This window comes from Homo sapiens, chromosome X (genome assembly GCF_000001405.40).
Source record: "Homo sapiens chromosome X, GRCh38.p14 Primary Assembly".
Classification (NCBI taxonomy): domain Eukaryota; kingdom Metazoa; phylum Chordata; class Mammalia; order Primates; family Hominidae; genus Homo; species Homo sapiens.
In genome coordinates, this window is record NC_000023.11 from 21,558,687 (window position 1) to 21,583,383 (window position 24,697).

The 24,697-nt window shown below is 36.8% G+C and overlaps 1 protein-coding gene across 8 annotated transcripts in view; it reads left to right on the top strand.

The window, feature by feature from the left end:
• CNKSR2 (connector enhancer of kinase suppressor of Ras 2) overlaps window positions 1-24,697 on the top strand; it is a 280,272-nt gene that overhangs the window by 184,269 nt on the left and 71,306 nt on the right. For 4 of the 8 annotated variants that reach the window (NM_014927.5, NM_001330770.2, NM_001168648.3 and 1 more), the window contains 2 exons: window positions 2,785-2,874; window positions 4,552-4,766. In NM_014927.5, the coding sequence (NP_055742.2) occupies window positions 2,785-2,874; window positions 4,552-4,766 (305 nt within the window). The remainder of the gene's footprint in view (window positions 1-2,784; window positions 2,875-4,551; window positions 4,767-24,697) is intronic. The other 4 variants (NM_001168647.3, NM_001330772.2, NM_001330773.2 and 1 more) reach the window with 1 other exon arrangement.

A 24,697-nucleotide genomic window follows, 5' to 3' on the forward strand; every position in this document is an offset into this window, starting at 1 on the left:
GAGATGACGCAAAATATAATGAATACAATTATGTATTTCATATTCTGTGTGTGAAGTATGTTTCTTCTTGTTTTTGTGCACATATGTTTGTCTCCAAACAACCAATTTTCAAAAAATATCTAACTAGCTTTTTAATATATATAACATATAGAGCAAGTGAAACAACTGCTTATTTATTGGATTTTCACTTTTCAAAAGATTTTTTGATGACATGTAAAAACAGTGCTAGAGCTGTTAATTGCTTCAGTTTCAGTGCCCATGCTGAAGTAGAGTTTATTTCTAAAACCAGATCCTAAAGAAATAAATTGTAGATATTTTGAAAATACAGCCTTCATAACATTGAAAATCTGGAGGACTGACTGTGCAAAGTGGTGGGAATAGACATAACAAAAGGAGACCTTCCCTCAAACCTTTACCCTACTTTCGATGGGCAGAATATTGACCTGGATCTATAGATGGCTGTTGTGAGACCTCGGTTCTTCTTAGCTTAAAAGAATTTAAACAAGAGACACACAGCAAAGGAGATATAGTATAGAGCAATTTATTGCAAAGGACAAAGAATATTATGAAAGTTAGGTTCAGAACAGACAGTACACCCTGAGAGAGGATTCAGGGTGAGCTGCTCCTAAGGATGAGACCACCAAGACTGGCACTAGGGAGACTCCCTTTATGAGAGTCTTACATAATTATTCATAAAGGAGTGGGAAGAGGTGTTGCTATTAAGCATATTCTTGGTTGTCCTCTGGGTGCACATGCATAGTAGCTGTACATACTTGTTCATACATTGCATGTCTCATTAGCATCTTAAATCTCTATCCAGGGGTGTGTTGCTTACTGTTATAATGAACAAAGGGTCGGTCTGAGGACAGGTGTAATCAAAATGCATGTGCTCCCTGCAGGGGAAATTCCTTACTGTAGATAGCTGTGTTTGAATGAGCTGGACTACAGTGTGAGTGCTGGGGCTTATTGTGTTAACTGTATTGTCGCCATGTGAGGACATGTTTACTTCCTTGACTACCTATCCTGCCTCAGATCATCTCACTCAAATTCCCTCTGTGTAAAAGAGCAGAGATATACTGTTGGAGAATTTGGAATATTAGGTGATCATTTACAAAGTTGTTTGCATACCTTGAAAGGAAGCCATTAAATAAATATTACATTTTTGGCTCATTAATAATTTTATCATGTCTAGTTAATCTTCAGATTTTAAAAGAGCTTAGCAAAACAGACTAAACTGTATCAGTGTTCACAATAAAAAGCCATAAGATTGATACTTTTTCCTTAAGAACAGAATTAGAATTCTCCTGACAGAATTTTTTAAAGCACATTGAGTGATTTTAATAATCATAAAATTTAGCTGGGCAAGGAGGGAAGCTGCAGGGACAGAAGGTGACTGACAGATACTGAAAAGTGGTATGACAGGTATTAATAGATTAAAGGAGGAAGAATTGTTGGAGTACTGTAGGTAGTGTGCTAGAAATACAAAAGGTGGTAGTTCGTAAGCTGGATATTTAAAGGGATTGCAGTCTTTGCTGATGAGACTAAGCATATGACGACAGGAATGAGTGTGAGAGAGAACCTCAAGAAACTGAAAGGCCAGACTCTCAGAGGGTGAATATTGAAGTCACCAAGAATTATGACAGAAGTGTGAGTGCCTGGGTTTGAATCCTGATACTATGTACTTACCAGGTATATGTCCTTGGGCAAGTTATATAACCTTAGTTTCCTCATCAGTTAAAATGAGGATAATGATAGTATAGTTCTCTGAATTATCAGGAGTAAACAATTTAATACTTATGAAACTCTTAGTATGTGGTATATGGCAAATGACATATAAATGTTTATAATATTATCAGAATCATAATAACCATTATTATTTGTATGATCCAGTCCTGTGTGAGTCTCCGCTTTTCATTCACTAGAAATTTATTAAGCGACTATTTCATGCCAGGCATTTTGCTAGGTATCCTGTTAAAACTTCTGAATTATTTTATTTGGCTGTTTTAGGCTTCAGGAATTTCAAGTGGAACAGAAATAATATACTGCAGCCTCACCAAAATAAAAGTTATTCTTGAAGTCTTTGCCATGAGTTCTCCTTGCTGAATTAAAATGCTGTTTAGTAAGGATACAGACCCAGGGGGAAATGGAGCAAACCAAAGCAGTGATTACTTGGATCTCTATACTGGACAGGCTCACTGTAGCAAAAGAGATGCTTAGAAGCAGACTCAGCTGTAGGACATGAAAGAGAATCTAACCATATTTTTGAGGCATGGTGGTGTCCAAAATGTATGGTGATAGGAGATGGGAAGCAGCGAAGATAAAAAGTTATCCTTGTGGTGTTCCAACTTGAAACAGTGGGTTAATGTCTGGTAGTCAGGTTAAACACAGAGAGCTACCATTTTGGAGGTTGGCTGTCAAGATATAGACACTTGGATGTTAGGAAATAAGATAGAGATCCAGTTACTGAGTAAAATCACTTATATGATTATCTTCTTTAAAAAAAAAAAAAAAAAACTATACCCTTAAAGTCTGGGGTTCCTAAGAGAGCTAACCTAGGCTATTCATTATTATTTATAAAAAGTACCTTAAGTTTGCTTTATCACCTGGCCAATAGGCAATTTCACCTTCTGGCTCAAAACACATTTTCTCCATCTACACAAATGCCAACCATAATGTTGCATAAGAGTGAGTGTGTTTGGTAGACTTTAGCTAAAAATCAGTGTAAGTTTGAGCAGACATGGGGAAGAAAAACAATGTGATGTGAACTTTGTTCTCTGTGTTTAGGCAAGCTACGACCTATATCTATGCCAGTGGAATATAATTGGGTGGGGGACTATGAAGATCCAAATAAGATGAAGAGAGATAGTAGAAGAGGTAAGTGTTCTAGAATTTCAGTGTAGGCTGGGTTGTTTGAACAATAAGCAAATTTAAATGTTCTGTAAATAGATTGTTATGGCTTCAGTGGAAAACTTATTCTATCATTGACTTTATTGTACAACAAAACCAAGTAAGACCAACATTTGACTATCTTGACCCATTATTAAACAGATATTGTCTCTGAATGCCTTCTAAGGGGTTCCAGGTACATAAGTATGGTGTTAAAAGTAAATATCTGATTATTATTTGAAAGGTAATATTTGGAACACAAGGTCAGGAGTGTGAAACTGCATAAAATAATTAAGTTCAGTGAATAGGAAGAGTTTATCATCAGTCCTCATCGGTCTGCAATGCAACCTCACCAGTTTTGTATGGAATCAACCTCAAAATGAGCATTGAAGCACATGGGTTAAAAGCTAATGGAAACTGGGCCAGTGACTTCTAACAAAAACCATGTAGAAATAGAAAAAAAAAAAACCGTGCTTTTTTTTCCTGTTCTGTTTGCTGCTCAGAGTTATCTTCTTACATGGGGGTGGGCTACTCTTGAAGGATCTACCAAAAGTAAGTTTTTATGTTCACTTATCCTGCTATAGAGATGAGCAATAGAGAGCAACTGAAAGTTTCCCTACTAAATAGGATTTGATCAAGTGTGGGTATGGTGGGCCCAGTGGGTCATGCTGCTACTTTGACTTTCTGAAGTAGAGAGCCGTAAGGTCGTAGGTGGAAAATAAAACAAATCAAAACAAAAAACTATTCATAGAATGTAAGTTCACTAAGCTTCCTTCATGATATGTTTGACCCGTTTTCTTGTTATTTCTAGCCAGTATACAGAATTTATTTTATTACTGCACAGATCCGCAGACCATATGGACAAGCAAGCATGAATATCTGATTCATTAGTCTTCTTAATACTTGTTTTATGGAGTGAGCATTTCTGAAAATGTTGATAAATACAGGAACATTGACAGATTCCTTTATATCTGTGTATTCATTCCATTTTCCAATCTTCAATTTCTAATCTCATTTGTTCTATAGAATAAATCAAGAAAAGTATAAAAGAGAAATGCTTATCACATGCTATCTCAGAGTCACTGTTTTGGGACTTCATATTTTAGAGACTTTTGTTGATGGGGAGGGGAACCATGTGAAGTACTAAGAGCTGACTACCAATTTAAGCATAGAATTCCTGAACTAAATTTCCTGACTATTGGTTCTTAATGTGGGCCTTAACTTCTCCAAGCATGCTACCTTGCATGCCACGGGCCGGTGTTTGTTATTGGGCTTTGGCAAAATCCCCATGAGGGTGATTGTTACAAATTTTATAAGCCACACACCTAGAATTTCTGATTCAAGTTCCAGAGGTGATTCTAATGTAGTTGGTCCAAAGCTAAAACTTGGAGAAATAATCTATCGACTGTCTATTTTTTATTGTCTTATCATACCAAATAATTAAGATATACTGTATTTCACTACATATTTTATAAGTTAAATCAAGTTAAAGTTCTGAAATGAAATATATTAGATTGGGGCAAAAGTAATTGCGGTTCTTGCAATTAAAAGTAATGGGAAAAACTGCAATTACTTTTGCGCCAACCTAATAGCACAATTGAGAAAGAATGGTAAATTTGGGGTATTTGTGTATTTATATTGGTGTATTTATCTCTTTTTATATAGAAAACTCTCTACTTCGGTATATGAGCAATGAAAAGATTGCTCAAGAAGAATACATGTTTCAGAGAAACAGCAAAAAGGACACAGGGAAGAAGTCAAAAAAGAAGGGTGATAAGAGTAATAGCCCAACTCACTATTCATTGCTACCTAGTTTACAAATGGATGCACTGAGACAAGACATCATGGGCACTCCTGTGCCAGAGACCACACTATACCATGTAAGTAAAATTTCAAAGACTCTTCAATACAGCTTTTATTGGAAGACTGGCAAGTGACTCTTTTGGGTAAAGTCTAGGTTATTTTTATCCTTTTACTAGATTTTCACAAAAGAGCCTAACTTTAAAGTTTATGCCCTTAAAAAATGATGGGTAATTGATTTTTTTCTTAAGTTTATGTGTTCAATGAGTTCATAGTTGTAGCAAGTTGGATTTTAATGGGATAACTTAATATGCACAAAATTGATGGAGAACAATAATAAATAGCTGATTAATCATCAGTGTGATACTATGCAATGCACAGATAGCTATAAAATTCAACATTAAAGATATAATTTTAATATAGTCATGATTCCATTTAAAAATGACCATCTATTATTTTCTAGACATGGAGAGTAGGGCTAGAGGTAAAATGGGAAGACGTGAGACACCATTTTATGGGGAGAAAGACATGCTGAGAGTCCCAGTATAACTTAACTGTTGTGATGGGTGGGTGCAGAAAGTATAAGAGGAACATAGGAGAAATAGAGCCTTAGTCTTTAGGGGAAGTGAGAAAAGGCTTCAGAGTGGGGAGCATTTGAATGGAGAATAAAATATGAGAAGCAGTATTTTAGTGCGAAGGCATATGCAGGTGCGCCACAAATGTGTGAGAATGTGGCATGTTCCAAGGATTTTGTGTGGCTTATGATTGCTGGTTTATTAACAATTGGAGGAAATGGCATGAGGAAAGGACAGTAGATGGGCCTGGAGTCATAGGTAAAGGTTAGATGAGGAACTGTATGATAAAGTACTTAGTTTCTTTCCTGCAGTAATAAAGAGCTATTGAATAATTTTGAACTGGGAACTTGCGTGATCAAATCGGCCTATTGGATCTCTCTAGTGCAGAGCGTCATTTGAGAGATCAGAAGCAGGGCTATTAAGTCCAGGCCATATGGATGATGAGAAACTAGGATAATGGCCGTGTGGAAGCTGAGAATCATGTTAGCAAGAACATTTAATCCACAAAATTATGCATGTTAAACCATTTTGGTTAAAAGGAGTTTGTTGTGTCACTGGAACTATAGCTTCTTATTAGGAGCCCTTGAAAAACATGGACTGCAAGTTTTTAAGTAATTTGAATGATTGTGCTTAATGCTTAAAATATCAAAAAAATTTTAATCTGCCCCTGCTGTAGAAGGTATAGCATCTAGGCATTCAAAATGTGAAAGATTTAATAACTTACAATTGAGTTGTTTCTCTGAGCAAATCTCTTAAATCATCTACTTATTCTATAGCTCTTCCATAAAACTAGAGTGTAGAAAAATGTTTTTTTTTTTGGACTATAGTGTTATTAGCACTCCTAGGTGCCTCATTCTTTACCCTCCCTTCTCCCCAGTTACATACTCTCAGAAGTCTCTAAGACACTAGTGCCTGTATCAGAATCTGCTCCGTTAAATGACTGATCGATTGAATTATTATTTTTTCCACAGACATTCAGAGTCAGCCTGAAATCAGTACTCTTAGTCGTTTGAAAGGGGACCACTTTTGTTATTACCACTATTCAGAAGAGCTGTATGAGCACTGAGCTTCCTCTAGAATCTGGTGTTCCAGTCATAAGTAATACCCTGAACAAAAGTTTGAAGATGAGGGACAGATGGCCTATTCGAGAGGGTAGTTGGTAGTGAGAGATGAACCTAGAGAAGGAAGAAGAGACCATCACTTTGACTCAGAGTGTACAAATTATTAAAAGTTTGGATTTATCCTGAGAGTAGTGAGTCATTGAAGGCACATTTAAATACTCAGCCTGCTCCATTCTGTCATGCATATCCTGACAGATGTTATACTGTGTGCGGAAGGAAAGTAGTTAAGTCTTGTGAATTATGAAGTATTAAATTAGGGAAGACAGTAAAAGGTGAGCCAAATTGGTAATCAGGAATATTGCGAATATTTTTGAGGAGTATAAATTGTTACCACCTTTCTGAAGGACATTGTTTAGTTATGTATATCAAGAATCTGATCTACTAACTTCACTTCTAGAAATTTATTCTAAGAAAGAAATCAGAGTCCACTTTTGCCTCCTGTTTTTATTATATGTCTTGAATCTGTAACATGGTATTTCCCAGATAGTTGACATCTATCTCAACTAATTTTTGACAGAGGACCAGCACAGAGTAAGGAATATTGTTAACTTTGGGGGAGATCTTCCCCTATAATGCTGATACACCAATTCCAGAGTAGAAGGCTGGGTATTTCCTAACTCTGTTCTCAGGTTTAGAAGAAGCAAAATAATCGCTAACCCCCAAGTGCGTATTGGATATCTATAACCAATGTTGTAAAAGAGAGAACTCTAATTGGTGGGGTTTTTACTAGGCTCTTGAGTTCCCTTGAGGATCTCACCTTGCCCTTATTTAGTGCTTTCACAGTTAGCAAGGAAGTTTCCACATTTGATATGTCTTTTGAACTTCACAGCAACCCTATTTGCAAATAACAAAACTCAAACTCAGAAATGATTTACAAAAGCTGTTTTGCAAAAAAAAATACAAGTACTGTTGTCAGGACTAGAACCAAATCACCTACTCCAGGGGTCTTTCCGCACTCTATCCTGTTGCTTTGTGCATGGTACACATTCCATATACAGAGGAATTTGTGCTTTAATGAATAAATGAGTGCATTTGAAAGGCTTGACTTGAAAAAACATGTGGCCTTGTATGATGATGTTAATAATGTTTTCAGTGCCTGGATTGATTTCTTTTTTGCTTCATGTTACTATTTGTTAAGTTAGGGGAAACATACTGAGCTGCCGCTGTTATAAAACACAAATAGTTATTTAGCTTGATCTATTGCTGGGACAACAGAATATTATAGTTAACAATGCTTGGACCTTGGAGACAAAACAACATACGCTTAAATAATAGCTTTTTATATTTCACAGGAATTTCTGTTTTATTTTTACCTGTTTATACATGCTTATTTAAAAATGAAAGGCTTTTTTCTTATGTTAAATTTTCCTGAAAACACAATGTCAGTATCAATCTGTAATCTAATCGCTTTCATGATGAACCACTAATCTTCATTTTTGCCAATTACTCCTTTGGATAACATGGCCATGTTTAATGGAATAGGACTTAAGTGGAAGAGGACTATGAAGATTGAGTATTGCATTTCATAGGCTTCTATCTCTGCCGTAATACTAGCTCTATGTAATCTAAAGATTTTAAGTTAAAAGTTAGAGAAAATTTAGTATGAATTTAATAGCAAGATAATATCATCATTAAATCCCCTTAAACGGCAAAGTAAAGGGGTGTGTGCATGCATGCATATAGTGTTCCTTATAAGCACACCTAGAGTATAGTCTTCACTGTTCTGTTGTGGAAAACGTCCCAATAAAAATACACAAAGCAAGACAAATATTGTTTGGCTTCAGGGTTCAACTCATTATCCTATAATGAAGACTTAGAAGTGTATGGGATTATAAAATACATTTTTATTAATTCCATATATCTGATATTCTAGTTCATATATATTTTTCTTAAACTTATTTAAAAGGAAATTATTCACTGTGCTGTAGCTACCCTAGTCATTGACCAGCTCTTTGCCACCACTTTCCTTTTCAACATGCTATTCCCGCTGCTGAGAATGCTTTTATCTCTTTTTTCTCCCAAGAATTCCTGCCTATCTAAACCTGAAATCACAAGGACATCTTCCCTGACCACTACCCTCTGAACTAAATCAGTTCTCCTATTTTCTCTTATCATCCAGTAGTTTTTCTTCAAAACCTTTGTTGGGATTTTTAATTATATATTTATGTGAACATCTGCCTAGTGTCTTTCTCTCCTGTACATGGTAGGACAGGTATGCCTATGTTCATGATGATAAGCAGGGACAATTTCTCCATTTTGTTCAGTACTGTATTTCAGCACCTAGTACAAATGTAGTACCTTATAAGCTCTCAATAAAAATGTCATGAGTAAGTGAATTAATGAGTGAGTGAGTAAATTTGACAGGAACTTCAGTGGCTTTCTCAGTGTCTTCAACCTGCAAACATAGCCCCCTCCATCTCCTAGGTCAACCCCACAGGGGCGAACAATGCAAGAGGATTAGCTGCCTTACATCCCCTACCCTACCTCCTTCACTCCAGCTGAAAACTTCAGTTCCAGCTAGTTCTTGCTTGCTTCCTTTCCCTGCCATCTCATTACAAAGGTTCCAATATGCCCATCAGCCAAGCATGTTATGACATTTTTCAAAAGAGCATAACTTTATTTTACCTACTTACTGATTCTGTCTGAAAATGTGGAAGCTGTTAGCTGCCAAAGCCCTCATCTAACCTGAGAGTACATGAAGACAAGGCAGACAGAAGTTTTTGTGTGGTGTGTGTGTGTGTGTGTGTGTGTGTGTGTGTGTGTGTGTGTGTGTAAAATTCAGATGTGGTAAGAAAAGTCTTTAAAGAATAACTGAATTATTCTGAATCTCATCTTTAAATCTTGTAGGACTTATTTTTCCCCAATATGATGTGCATATGACAACTTGCTCTCACATTAAAGCTGCTGAACTAAATTCATATACAAAATAATTACTTAGGCCGAGCACGGTGGCTCATGCCTGTAATCCCAGCACTTTGGGAGGCCAAGGCGGGTGGATTGCCTCAGCTCAGGAGTTTGAGACCAACCTGGACAACATGTCAAAACCCCATCTCTACAAAAAATACAAAAATTAGCTGGATGTGGTAGCATGCACCTATAGTCCCAGCTACTTGCGGGGCTAAGGCAGGAGAATCACTGGACCCTGGAAGGTCTAGGCTACAGTGAGCCATGTTTGCACCACTGCACCCCAGCCTGGGTGACAGAGTGAGACACTGTCTCCAAAAATAATAGTGATAATAATAATAGTCATTTATTTTAAGTCTACATGCTGAGATGCCAGAACAAGTAAAATTGGATTATAGATTCAAGCAGTATGTAGGTATACTTTCATAAACTGAATACTGATGTAATTTTGGATGATTAAAAACAGACTTTTAGTAGGTGTTCAAAAATCTGGATAATTCCTTTCATGACATTCAAACATTTAGGTGGCCTGTCTTTGTTTTTTTAGGATATAACTGCAAACATTCAATTGTTTTATGTCTCATAAGTACTTTCAGCCACTCTGGCCAATTTGTGAGGTTTTGTGGCTTTTTTTGATGGAGGGAAGAGGGGTAGAACTGTTAAAAAACATTTTTATTTTTTTTTAATTTAGCAAGTAAATAAACATTATGAAAATGCTATTCTGATTACTTTACAAATACTATCTTATTTAAATCTCATAATGCTGTGAGGAAGCTCAGTTGCTGGTGTTATCCTCATTTTACAGACTAGAAAGCTGAGGCACATGGATTAATTAGGTAGTTATGTGGTAGAGCTAGGATTTGAACATTTGCACTCTGGCTCTTAGCATACTATATTGCCCCTCAAAAAATAGCATAATTTAACAGAAACCTAACAACAGTTGTATAGTGGCAACCACGTGTAAAGCCCAGTCTAAGTGCAGTGGTATATACAAAGACTAATACAGGCATATCTCAGAGATAATGCATGTTCAGTTCCAGACAACCACAATAAAGTGAATATTACAATAAAGCAAGTCACACAAGATTTTTTAGGTTCCCTGTGCATATAATAGTTATGTTTATACTATACTGTAGTCTGCTAAGTGCACAATAGCATTATGTCTAAAAAACAATGTACATAACTTAATTAGGAAATATTGCTAAAATATGCTAATGATTATGTGAGCCTTCAGCAAGTTATTATTATTATTATTATTATTTTTGCTGGTGGAGGGTTTTACCTCAATGTTGATGTCTGCTGACTAATCAGGGTGGTGGTAGCTGAAAGTTGGGGTGGTTATGACAATATCTTAAAACAAAATGACAAAGTTTGCTCTATCAATTTACTCTTCCTTTCACAAAATATTTATTAGCAGCATGAGATGCTGTTCAACAGCATTATATCCACAGTAGAACTTCATTCAAAATTGGGGTCAGGCTCTACTTCCAATTCTAGTTCTCTTGTTATTTCCACAACATTTGCAGTGACTTCCTCCACTAAAGTTTAGAACCCCTCAAAGTCATCCAGGAGGGTTGGATTCAATTTCTTCTAAATTCTTGTTAATCTTGATATTTTGACCTCCTCCTGTGAATCACAAATGTTCTTAATGGCATCTAGAATAGTGAATTCTTTCGACAAGGTTTTCAATTTACTTTGCCCAGATCCATCAGAGGAATCACTATCTATGGCAGCTATAGCCTTACAAAATGTATTTCTTAAATAATAAGACTTGAAATTTGAAATTACTCCTTGATCCATGGGCAGCTGAATGGCTGATATATTAGCAAACATGAAAACAACATTAACCTTGTACATCTCCAACAGAGCTCTTGGTTGACCAGGTACATTGTCAATGAGCAGTAATTTTGAAAGGAATCTTTTCTTTCTGAGCAGTAGGTCCCAATGATGGGCTTAAAATATTCAGAAAACCATGCTATAAATAGATGTGCTGTTTTCCAGGCTTTGTTGTTTCATTTATAAAGTACAGGCAGAGTTAATTTAGCATCGTTCTCAAGGGCCCTAGGATTTTCAGAATGGTAAATGAGCATTGGCTTCAAGTTAAAGTCATCAGCTCCATCAGCCCCTAACAAGAGAGTCAGCCTGTTTTATGGTTTGAAGCTAGGCATTGACTTCTCTCAAGCTATGAAAGTCCTAGATGGCATCTTCTTCCACTGCAAGGCATTTCATCTGTATTGAAAATTCTATTGTTTAGTGTAGCCACCTTCATCAATGATCTTAGCTAGATCTTCCGGATAACTTGCTGCAGCTTCTCCATCAGCACTTGTTACTTCACCTTGCACTTTTTTTGTTATGGAGATGCCTTCTTTCCTTAAACCTCATAAACCAGCCTCTGCTAGCTTCCAGCTTTTCTTCTGTAGCTTCCTTACCTCTCTGATCCTTCATAGAATTGAAGAGAGTTAGGGCCTTGCTCTGGATTAGGCTTTGGTTTAAGGGAATGTTATGGCTGGTTTGATCTTCTATCCAGACCACTCAAACTTTCTCCCTATCAGCAATAAGGCTGTTTCGTTTTCCTATCATTTTTATATTGGAGGCCTTGCTTTCAGTATATCTTGGCTTTTGACATGCCTTCCTCACTAAGCTTAATCATTTCTAGCTTTGATTTAAAGTGAGAGACGTGTGACTCTTCCTTTCACTTGAACACTTAGAGGCCATCGTAGGGTTAATTAATTGGCCTAATTTTAATACTGTTGTTTCTCAGGGAATAGAGAAGCCTGAGGAGAGGAAAAGAGATCGGAGAACAGCCCATTGGGAGAACAGTAAAAACAGACACAACATTTATTAAGTCTGTTGTCTTACATGGCTTCTTTCTTTAATCCTCATAAACCAACCTCTGCTAGCTTCCAACTTTGCTTCTGCAGCTTCCTTACCTCTCTCAGCCTTCATAGAATTGAAGAGAGTTAGGGCCTTGCCCTGGATTAGGCTTTGGTGTAAGGGAATGTTGTGGCTGGTTTTGATCTTCTATCCAGACCACTTAAACTTTCTTCTGTTTTCTTCTGTGTCAGCCTGTCTTTTGAAGCTTTGAAGCCAGGCATTGACTTCTCCTCTCTAGCTATGAAAGTCCTAGATGGCATCATCTTCCACTATAAGGCTGTTTCATCTATATTGCAAATGTGTTATTTAGTGTACTGTTGTTCATGGCACCCCAAAATAATTACAGTAGTAACATCAATGATCACTGATCACAGATCACCATAACAGATATAATAATAAAGAAAAAGTTTTAAATATTGTGAGAATTACCAAAATATGATACAGAGACACGAAATGAGCACATGCTATCGGAAAAATGGTACCAATAGACTCATTCAGCACAAGATTGCCAGAACCTTCCATTTGTAAAAATTGCAATCTTCAAAGAATAAATTGAAGCACAGTAACAGGAGGTATCCCTATAATATTTCCACTGCTAATATTACTAATAGCTAGCATTTACTGATTACTTACTAAGCTCCAATGCTAAGCACTTAAATACAGTATCTCTTGGAATCTTCAAAATGATCCTATGAGGTTGATATCATTATTTCTATTCTGCAGAACTGAAAGGAACTGGAACACAGAATTTACCTTAAAGAGCTAGAAAATAGCAGAGTTTAGAAATGAGTCCAAGCATCCTGACTCCAAAATTCACACCTTTGTGTGACTAAAGCCATATCTGCTCATAAGGATTTTATCATCTATTAGGGAAGACAGAGCTATTATTATCACAATAATGGAAAAACTGTGATATTACTAACATATAAACATTCATAATTAAATTTACCTGCAGTTATAAAGGTTGGTTTGTCTAACGGCTGCCTGACTTAGCTGCATTCTTTCAGGATAAAAGTAATTCAAAGAAGAGATCAGTTATTTTAGTGGCAAAGAAGCCACCTCTAAGCCGTCACTTGTTTATAACAACCAATTTCTCTCCGTTTTGACTTTATTCACCCAGAAGACAGCTGTATTACAGAATGACATGATGTTTCTCCCAATCAAGGTACATTTAGACATGTTAGAGTACAACAGTACACTAAATATTATCATATTCATTTGTATATTCTCTGATTCCTATGGATGACTTTATTATTTCTAAAATGTTTCATAGTAGCATTTGCAAACCCCTACATGGGAACAGTCTGTACTATGAAAAGTATTTCCCAGTGGGCTGCTTCCCTACAGCAGTGATTCCCAAAGTATGGGCCATCCTTGGCAAAGGGCTCTGATGACTGAGGTCTGACCCAGAAGTGACAGTACTTTCTTTGATTCTTATGGGCAAATAACACATCACAAACTTCCATTTTCACTTGTGACTAGATATTGCTTACTAGTAACCTACTAAATGAGTTTAAAAGGTTACAAATTGAATAATCATAAAATAATACATTCATAGAATTTATTGAATATTCTAATTTAGTATTTTTTCAGTATGCCTGTGTTTTAGTTCATTCTTATACTGCTATAAGGACATACTCAAGACTGGGTAATTTATAAAGGAAAGAGGTTTAATTGACTCACAGTTCCACAGGACTGGGGAGGCCTCAGGAAACTTACAATCACGGCAGAAGAGGAAGCAAACACATCCTTCTTCACATGGCGACAGCAAGGAAAACCGCAGAGCAAAGCGGGAGAGGGGAAGCCCCTTATAAAGCCATCAGCTCTCATGATAAATCACAATCATGAGAACAGCATGGAGGTAACTGCTGCCATGATTCAATTACCTCCCACCGGGTCCCTCCCATAATACATGGGGATTGTGGGAACTATAATTCAAGATGAGATTTGGGTGGGAACACAGCCAAACCATATCATTACGCCCTTAGCCCCTCCCAAATTTCATGTCCTCACATTTCAAAAGAGAACTTCCCAACAGTCCCCCAAAGTCTTAACTCATTCCAGCATTAACTCAAAAGTCCAAGTCCAAAGTCTTACCTGAGACAAGGCAAGTCCCTTCTGCCTAAGACCCTGTAGAATCAAAAGCAAGTTAGTTACTGCCTAGATAAAATGGGGGCACAGGCATTAGGTAAATACAACCATTCCAAATGGGAGAAATTGGCCAAAACAAAGGGGCAACAGGCCACATGCAAGTCTGAAATCCAGCAGGGCAGTCAAATCTTAAAGCTCCAGAATGATCTCCTTTGACTCCATGTCTCACATTTAGGTCACACTGTTGCAAGCGGTGGGGTCCCACAGCCTTGGGCAACTCTGCCCCTGTGGCTTTGCAGGGTACAGCCCCCCTCCTAACTGCTTTCATGAACTGGCATTGAGTGCCTGCAGCTTTTCCAGGAGCACAGTGCAAGCTGTTGGTAGATCTACCATTCTGGGGTCTGTAGGATGGTGGCCCTCTTCTCATAGCTCTACTAGGCAGTGCCCCAGTGGAGACTTTGTGTGGGGACTCTGAACCCACATTTCCCTTCTGCACTGCCCTAGCAGAGGTTCTCAATGAGGGCTCCACCCCTGCAGCAAACTTCTGCCTAGACACCCAGGCATTTCCATACATCCTCTGAAATATGGGCAGAGGTTCCCAAGCCTCAATTCTTGACTTCTGTGCACATGCAGGCTCAACACCACATGGGAGCTACCAAGGCTTGGGGCTTGCACCCTCTGAAGCCATGGCCCAACCTATACCTTGGCCCCTTTTAGCCATGACTGGAGTGGCTGGGATGCAGGGCACCAAGTCCCTAGGCTGCACACAGCAGAGGGATCCTGGACCTGGCCCACAAAACCATTTTTTCCTCCTAAGCCTCCCAGCTTGTGACATGAGGGGCTGCCATTAAGGTCTCTGACATCACCTGGAGACATTTTCCCCATTGTTTTGGTGATTAACATTCGGCTCCTTGTTACTCATGCAAATTTCTGCAGCAGGCTTGAATTTCTCCCCAGAAAATGGGTTTTTCTTTTCTACTGCATTGTCAGGCTGTAACTTTTCCAAATTTTTATGGTCTGCTTCCTCTTGAACACTTTGCTCTGAGAAATTTTTTTCACCAGATACCCTAAATCATCTCTCTCAAGTTCAAAGCTCCACAGATCTCTAGGGCAGGGGAAAAATGCCACCAGTCTCTTTGCTAAAGCACAGCAAGAGTCACCTTTGCTCCAGTTCCCCACAAGTTTCTCATCTTCATCGGAGACCACCTCAGCCTGGACTTCATTGTACATATCACTATCAGCATTTTGGTCAAAGCCATTCAACAAGTGTCTAAGAAGTTCCAAACTTTCCCACATTTTCCTGTCTTCTTCCGAGTCTTCTAAACTGTTCCAACCTCTGCCTGTTACCCAGTTCCAAAGTCAGTTCTGCATTTTTGGGTATCCTTATAGCAGCACCCCACTCTACTGGTACCAATTTACTGTATTAGTTCATTCTCACACTGCTAATAAAGACATACCCAGGACTCGGTAATTATAAAGGAAAGAGATTTAATTGACTCACAGTTCCACAGGGCTAGGGAGGCCTCAGGAAACTTACAAGCATGGCAGAAGGGGAAGCAAATATGTCTTTCTTCACATGGTGACAGCCAAGAGTGAAGGGGAGGGGAAAGCCCCTTAGAAAACCATCAAATCTTATGAGAACTCACTATCACAAGAACATCATGGAGGTAACTGCCCCCATGCTTCAATTACCTCCCACTGGGTCCCTCCCACCGTATGTGGGAATTATGGGAACTACAACTCAAGATGAGATTTGGGTGGGGGCACAGCCAAACCATATCAGCCTGGTACCTATGCAGCCCTGACAGTGCAATCATGTTCATATCGCACAAGCACAAGTGTAGATGATCCAGTTTTCTGTGGTTTTCAGGAGGAATGCTCTATTGATACATCATTGGGATTTTTTAAAAAGTAACCTATAGTTTTCAGTGGCTGTTTATTTTCATTATAAGTTATCATTAGACTTCATCACTATCAATTTTAGTTTGTTTTAGGTTGCTTGCTTTACCCTCTAATATGTAGTGATTCATATTTACCTATAATTTTTCAAGAATGATACTGTGAATCATCCATACCCAACAGTACTTACAGAGTAATCGTCTATTGGTATACCTAGTTATTTTTTCCATTGAAAAGTAGAGATAAAGAGATAGACCCAAGGGATCTGTTGGCCTGTCTTAGGGAACCACAGTCAAAAACTGTGGAAACCCACTACCTAGATACAGATATATGGTTAAAAGAAGAAGAAAACAATATTGGCTTTACTTGGTTATAAATATAAAACAGTTTTGGTGAATGCTAGTCCACAAAAAATTAGTTCACTTGTACTTCCTCACTTATTTATATAATTTGTTCTTTTTGCTTTCATATTTAGGAAGGTTTGGTTTTTTTATTAAAAAAAAAATCAACTATCGGTACTCCTCCTATCCCCCCATATTCTCATTCACCGCAAACTGGTGTACTTATAATGGAACTGGCCAGACTAGAGGATTTAATAATAGAATTACTCTTTGAAGATTTAAAGATTCACAAATACAAACTTTCAGTCCCAGATAAGATGGAGTACACACATTTTATTTTATTTTTCCTGCTACTCACAACCAAAAATTACCTGGAGAAAATACATTAACTCATCTACCAGAAGACTCTGAAAGGTGCAAAAAAATAAGGCAGACAGGCTAGAGACCTCCAGACCCAAGGAAGTGCTGTGAGTTCCCAGGCTTTTTTACTTGCCTCCTGTATTACCTGGCCTGGGTGTTATAAAAGCCTGCAACCTGAAAACATCAATAGGCACCGACAAAATACAGTCTTTAGCCAACGGACTCTCTTTAGCCAACATGACAGAAATATTTTAACAACACCTGCCTCTTCTCAAGGCAGAAACCGTGAAAAAAGTCATGCTTCTCTTCCTTCACCACAACAGGCATAAAGAGGTTCAATTCACTAAGAAGACATGACAATCTTAAACATGTATGCACCAAATAACAGAGATTCAAACAGTAGAAGCAAAATCTCCCAGAACTGGAAGGACAGATTGAAAGATTTACAATTAAGGTTGGGGTCTTCAACATCCATCTCTCAATAATTCATAGACCCACTAAACAAAACACCAGCAAGGGTACAGAAGTACTGAATGACTGTCCACCAGCAGTTTCTAACTGACACCCAACAACAGCAGAATACACATTATTTTCAAATGTGCATGAGATACTCATCAGAATAGAAGTTATCTTCAGTCATAAAACAAACCTTAGCTTTAAAAGAACTTGAAATAATACAAAATATGTTCTCTGATTATAATGAAATCAAACTAGACATCAGTAACAAAAAGATAACAAGTAAATCTCCAGCCACTTGGAAATTAAAGAACATACTTCTAAATAATCCATAGGTTAAAAGGAAGTATAAAGGAAAATGAAGCTGAGTGAAAATAAAAAGCATATGCTTAGAGGAAATTTATAGCCCTAAATGCTTACATGAGAAAAGAAGAAAGATGGCAATAATCTCAGCCCCTACCTCAAGAAATTAGAAAAAGAACAAAACAAAAAGCAGAAGGAAGATTTAATAAAGATAATGGAATTCAATGAAGTTGAAAACAGAAACAATAGGTAAAATCAAACCAAAAGCTATGGGATTTTTTAATTTAAAAAATTGACGAACATCTAGCAAGACTGATAAAGAGAAAAAGGAGAGAAGACTCAAATGACCAATATCAAGAATAAAATAGGCGATATCACTACAACCCTCATAGACATTAAAAGAATACTAAAGAAATACAACTCTGTGCCTGTAAGTTTATCAGTTCAGATGAAATGGACCAATTCCTCAAAACATACAAACTGCCAAAACTCACCCAAAATGAAATATATCTGAATAGTTACATAACTATTAAAGAAATTTAATTAACTATTAAAATTTCCAAAATATCAATACAGAAATACTTTAAAACAAAAGAAGCAAAACCACAGTACTAATATTTTTGTATTGATTGAGTGTGGGAATAAGGAATTTTGCTTTCATTGTTATGTTCTGCGCTGCTTTTAAAGTGTTGGAAGCCTATAAGAGATTTGATGTACAAGACTTGTAACTTAATGGAATTCCTAAGATACTGATTAAATTCATCAGTTTTATTAATTTTGAAAATATTGTTTAAATGTTTAGAAATTTTTATTTCCTCAATTTTTAAGTTTTAAAATTTGAAAACTAAACAAACAAAAAGATTCACAAATATGCCCTCACTCTTGAGAAAGATTTTTGCTCCCTGTATAAAACAGATTACTGATAAACTGAAGCCAGCCCTTTCAGCTTCACATTTGAACAAATGTGGGTCTCAGTCTGCTACTTCCTGGGTAGAAAATGACTGCCAGGAAGCAAAACACAAAATTTGGCTCAATTAGTGATGCACCATGTAAAACATGATGCAGAAGAATTGAATTATAAATTTATTAAATTTAAGTCTTATTTTTAATTCCTTTTTGCCTTTAGGGAAAAAAAATACACAAATTCTAATAACAGGCCCTTGGCTTGGTTGGTAAGTTCAGTAATTAAAAACTATTTGGGGACATACCTGCCTTTAGTTGCTTTGATCAGAGAGCGTAAAGAAGCCCCATTCCCTTTTATGTTGTAGACGTTTGTCTCCTAGCTTTATAGCCTCAGAAAATGTCCTCAAATTTTGTAGGCAATTGGCTTTTTTTTTGCTCCCATAATCACCCTACTCGTATTACCTTGCCACCATAACTCATTTAATCAGACATCTCAAGTTTAATAAAACTGTAGGTAGAATTATCTTACCCCTAGAATTCTTTAAAGCCTATTCTGATTGAAGGTCATAACCTGTACCAAATTATTTTCTTCACTTAACTCCCACAATATATTAATATTACTCCCTTGATGGTTTCAGCACTCTCAGCCTCCACAAAACTATGGGTATAATGATTTGCTGTATGTACTAAAATTATCCAAAGTTTCCTCTTAATAAATGATATTAAGGTACAATAATTTATTACTGTTAGATTCTAGTTTTTTAAAGATAAATTTTCTAAGAACTATGTTAAATTGTTTGCAGCCATTATGGATTTTTCACTAGTTTTGACTCTGACAGCAATTGGCAATGGACCAAAGTGCATAAGCTCAACCTAGAGTCTCAGTTCTAAATGATACTGCTAAATCTGTCTCTTAACATTTCTACAAATACCAGGGTAATTTAGGAACAGGATCCTAATAGACTTCAATCCAAAACAACTTGGAATGCTGAGAAATAGATCAATGTTTCAAACCCATGTTCTTTATATGTGACTGATTTTAGGTAAATTAGTGTAAACTTTCCTGCCATAGTAAACAGGAGAATAAGTTGTCTTCCCATGGTTTCTTTTATTTTCATAAATCTAGAGTGGTCCCAAGACATAATGGTTCTTGTGTCTGATAGTCTCCAGATAAGAGTTCAGCATTAAGAAGAGAATTGCCTTTTTTAAAATTCAGCTATAGGTCAGCTATATATTTAAATATATATAGCTATATAGGTCAGCTATATACTTAAATCAGCTATAAAAAGCTAGGCACATTTCTGAACCTCAGTTTCTCATAGGTAAAAAGAGGATAAGACTACTTACCTGTTTTTTTTTTTTTTTTCAGAATTAAATCACACGTTGTATATAAAATTATTTCCACTGTGCTGAGCACATACTAGCTATTCTTAACTCCATATAGAAAGAAAATTAGTTACTCTGCATGTAAGGGAATTTATCTTCTGATGAGCAAATCAGGAAGCCTTCTAGGACTAAAACAGAATGCACTTCTTTTGGGCATTAATGAGTATATCCATTGAAGTACAACCAGGGAACTAGAATCTCTAAGTGGCATGGAATAAAGGACTAGATCTTATTCAGTTGAGGAGCTGGCAAAGATGCCTCAGCAGAGCCAGTGGTTGGGAAGAAAATCTAGACATGAAGTGAGGAAGAACAAGACAAACTAGAACCCATGAGCACAAACCAGAGCATTTCCTCCAACTTCAACAAGAAGCTGGTACCCTTCTCCATGGAGATTCACAGATTCATGGTCCCATACTCAGGTGCTGAAGGAGGAGATCCGATTGGAGCTGAAGGAGTTGTAGACCTGGCTGCTGACTCACACCAGTAAGGCAAGCCAACAGAAAAGTAAAACAATGTGTATCAGCTGCAGCAGTGACTGACACCCTGCCCTGACCTTCGGAGCAAAAGAGCTGCTGCTTTACTTGTATTCTCCAAAACTGACACAAATTTACGTAGTGGCCAACCCTAAACTAGAACCATATAGACAAAAGAATTCTAAAACACATAGTTCCTTCCAGCTTAGCTAAATTGATGCAATAGGAAACTACCAAACTGAGGTTTCCTTCTCTGTGGCCATTATCAGTGTTTACTGTGTAAAACCTGCTTTGAAAATTCTCTACTGGGAGTATGTATGAGGTTCAGTGGTAAAATAAAAATCATAAATTATCATAAATCTAGAGTGGATTCAAGAGTGTAGCCTACCTCTATGAGAGTACCATCTCCACAACCTACTTCTTTAATTTACCAAAGCATATACTGAGAAATACATCTTAGCCAAATGTTGAATCTTCTTCACTTAGTTGCATTTTAAAATAATGTCCTCAATTTTTATCATATGGTTATTACAAGAAACAGCCATATGAAATACACTTCTTCATTTGCTATAAAATGTTTTTTGATATTGTATTTTCTATTTCTTTGTACCTTCCATCATATATATTTTTATAATTGGGTAAAAGCTTTGGCTCTGTGTGGTGACAGTATATGTAAAGATCTGATTCAGTGTCTGGCACTATGATAGTGCACAAATAGTATACCCTTCCTCCAACAGTACTACCAAAATGTCCTCACCAGTGGGCTGAGAACAAGCAAAATGTAATCTAGGTGCATTTGAGGTAACCAGTTCTGAAGAAGTGGCAGCAAATATCAAGCCCTCCAGAAATTTAATTTTTTATACTGAGATTGCGTAAGTTGCCTCCTTTCTTTTACTCAGTTTTCTCATTTACAAGACAAGTGTAGCACTGCAGAGAGGACTATGAAAAATGCCATCTAAATTGACAGCATAATGATGATTTGATTCCTGCTGCAAGCGCAGAAGTTAAAATATCTCCCCATCAAGTTCTTTTTTCCCTTCTGTTAGATAAAACCAATTTTCCTTTTTTTAGTCTTAAAATCATGTTTTACTATATAGTTCAGTATTAAAAGGAACAGTCTGAATTATATATCTCAATTATTTTATAAAATAAATTGCATATAGTGACTTTTGATACTTTTTAAAATTCTATTTTTATACAGTACTCTTTGAAAAATATTTCTGTTATGAAAAAAGTCTCTAAATCAAGAAAACTCTATTAAAACTACCAGATGTAGAAACATCTGAAGTAGTTGTGTTGGAGAGCTTGTCTATTATATAAGAGCAAAAATATCAGAATAAGAGTTTAACAGAAACGTAGTATTAATATGATAAAGATATTTAGATAAAAGCTAGCATTCTTGGAACAAATTATACTGACACAGACTTTCATAATGAGAAATATGTACATTATATCAGAGAAATCAACCTAAAAATAAAGTTAAAGTAATCAGAAAAAAACTTTGATTTCAGATTCTTTTACAAATAAAACCATTAAGTCCACAACCAGAAAAGTTTTTCAGTAAATATGATTCAGTCACATCATTGCTGACAGAATCATCAATCATACCATAATTGTGACTTCATTTGAGATTCTTGGGTTTCATGCATCTCTGTTAGAGGTGATTCTTTCTATATTATTTATTCCTCTATTTCTTTTACACATAGTTTATTTCCTTGTCATTCATTAGCCTGCAGGTAGCAAATCTGGTCCTCTCCATTTTTTCTGGTTATAAACATTTCTTTGTCACAAAAGACAGGCAAATCTACTCTTATTTCTCTGACACCTAAATTTCAACGGTTTCTGTCAAACAGAAGTGTCAGGAGTAGGAGCTGCCCTAGTTCTGCTTTTCACCTGTTAGAACTTGCTGCCTCTGTCTCAAGTGCAAATCTATGTTAATTGTACACATCAATCAGGCACCCCAAAATAGCTGTATCTAATATGGCTGGTGATAAGTTATTTCCATACATGGTGGAATTCAAACATAAACTAAGTGCTTTTCAATGAATAATCTAGCATTCAGTGTTAAGACTGACACTGATTACAGGTATACATATAATATTTCCTAAAACATCAATAATTAGGTCTCCATTGGTGATCATTAACTGGTTTTCCATTCATTTTTAAATTATGATCCTGGAAAGTTATTGTTCTATGAGACATACTAAGAACATGTGGTCCAAATCCCTGATTTCGCAGTTGAGGAAATTGAGGTCAAGAGTAGTCCAGTAGCTTGATCAAAGTCATAGAGCTGGAATATAGACTGAAATATGAACTGAAAGTCAGGTCTCCTGATTCCTACCATGGTGTTGCTTCATTGGTAATGTGTGTTCCTTTCTTGCTGAGAAATGAGCATTCTAAGTGTATCACTCCAACTGATTTGTTGAAAATAGACTGAAGGGGCCAAGGGTAAGTGTGGAAGCGGGGAGACAAGATAGGATCTGGTCAATTCAAGTGAGAGATGAGAGTGACTTAACCCTGGGTGTTAAAGTGGAAGTGGTGAAAAGGGGTTGGACTCTGGATATGTTTTGAAGGTAACTGGACAGGATGCGCTGACAGATTGCATATGAGAAGCCATGAATCATAGCCCATACCTCAGTGTCCCACACATAGGTGGTGAGTAACTATTCAATTCATGCCTTCAACAGATAATTGTATGTCGCATCCTGTGCTAGGAGCTGAGTATAGAGTGGTGACCTAAACAAATGGTTTCTGCCTTCATAGAACTAATATAGTAGGTAAAAACCATTCCTTCAGAAAGTGAGCCAAGTAATTCCAAAGCATTGCGTAGTATTGAGGAGTGTTTTGGGTGGAAAATGGCATAACACAATGAATCAGCTCAAGAGAGTAAAGAATTAGTCAAAAGGCAGGCTGGATCCATGATTTTCTCATCAGTATTGACACAGGGTTTTCTAATTGAACTGAGTTCTGTTAATAGGCTTGTACTGAAATGTAATTGCAGTCCCATCTCTGTCTACTTAGGCTGGGCCTTATAATATTATCGTACCTTAATTTCTGTCTCAATTGCAAAATTAAGATGTTACCATGAGCCTTCCTTTCATGCAGATGTTATTATAAGCGGTTGCCCAGAAACTCCTGTAAATCTTCTTTTATAACCTACAGAGCAATATAACTTGCTAATTAAAATAAAATTGAGAAAGCATGAAAATTAGAGATTGATGAGATGTTATTGGTTTGAATTATCTCCATTGATATAAAAGTGTTTTTCTCACTGATAATCTTTCTGTTTTGGAGAATCCTTTCTCTTCACATAGCAATGTACTTGCATCACCTGTCATGAGATGTTTTCATAAATGGATGTCTTAGTGCCAGAAGCACTTTTTCTCTCTCTTTAATTGTTACTATGACTACATAATACTTACTTGGGAGGCAGTAATGCATGTAGTAGGAGTATAGGTTTTGGGGTTGACAGACCTGGCTTTGAATTTTGACTCTACCCCTACCTGTGTGATCCTGAGCAACTTATTTATGCATTCTGGGTCTCAGTTTCCTCTTTCTTAAAATGGGGTTAATGATAACCACTTTACATATGTATTATAAGGATTAAAATGGATCAATTACATCACTTATAAACACTTGTAAGTGCTTAATATTGTGCCTGACACATAATAAGCCCTCAGTAAATGATTATTATTTTGAGCTAAGGATGGCAGTTCTTATTTCCCAAGGGTATTGATTCATGTTAGCCTTCCTGAATATTTTCCAAGTAATCACTTCCCTTCTTCCTACATTACCACTGTGTAGGAACAGGAGGACTCACCTTATGGGATCCTGCATGAGAGTCAATCACATCCTTCCTTCAGAATCTGATACATATGACATTCTTTTTGATGGAACATTAACTCTGCCCAACCTAAGTAGTTGTAGTTTGACTGACCTTCTCTAGATTCTTACCAATTACTGTCTTTTTGTTCTTATTTGACTGCTAATTTACTGGTTTATAAAGCATGCTTATTTTTGAGTAAGTGTGGAGCCATTTTCAGTTATACATGTACCCCGATCCTAAAATAAAAGTTTAAAAAAAATCAGGTCGACCTGACTGACAGAATCCAGAGCTACCTCATCCCACTCTAATGAAAGACCTACGGTGTGTGCAGTGCCACATCCTTCACCCTGATTGACTCCAAGTTTTTCTTTCATGCACCAGAATGAGCAAGGCCACCAACAACAGCAGACTTAAGTTCTATGCTGTTATTTCTTATAAATGGAAATTTTTTGACTTAATATTTGGTTCTATTGTCATCCTATCCCATTTCCATATATTT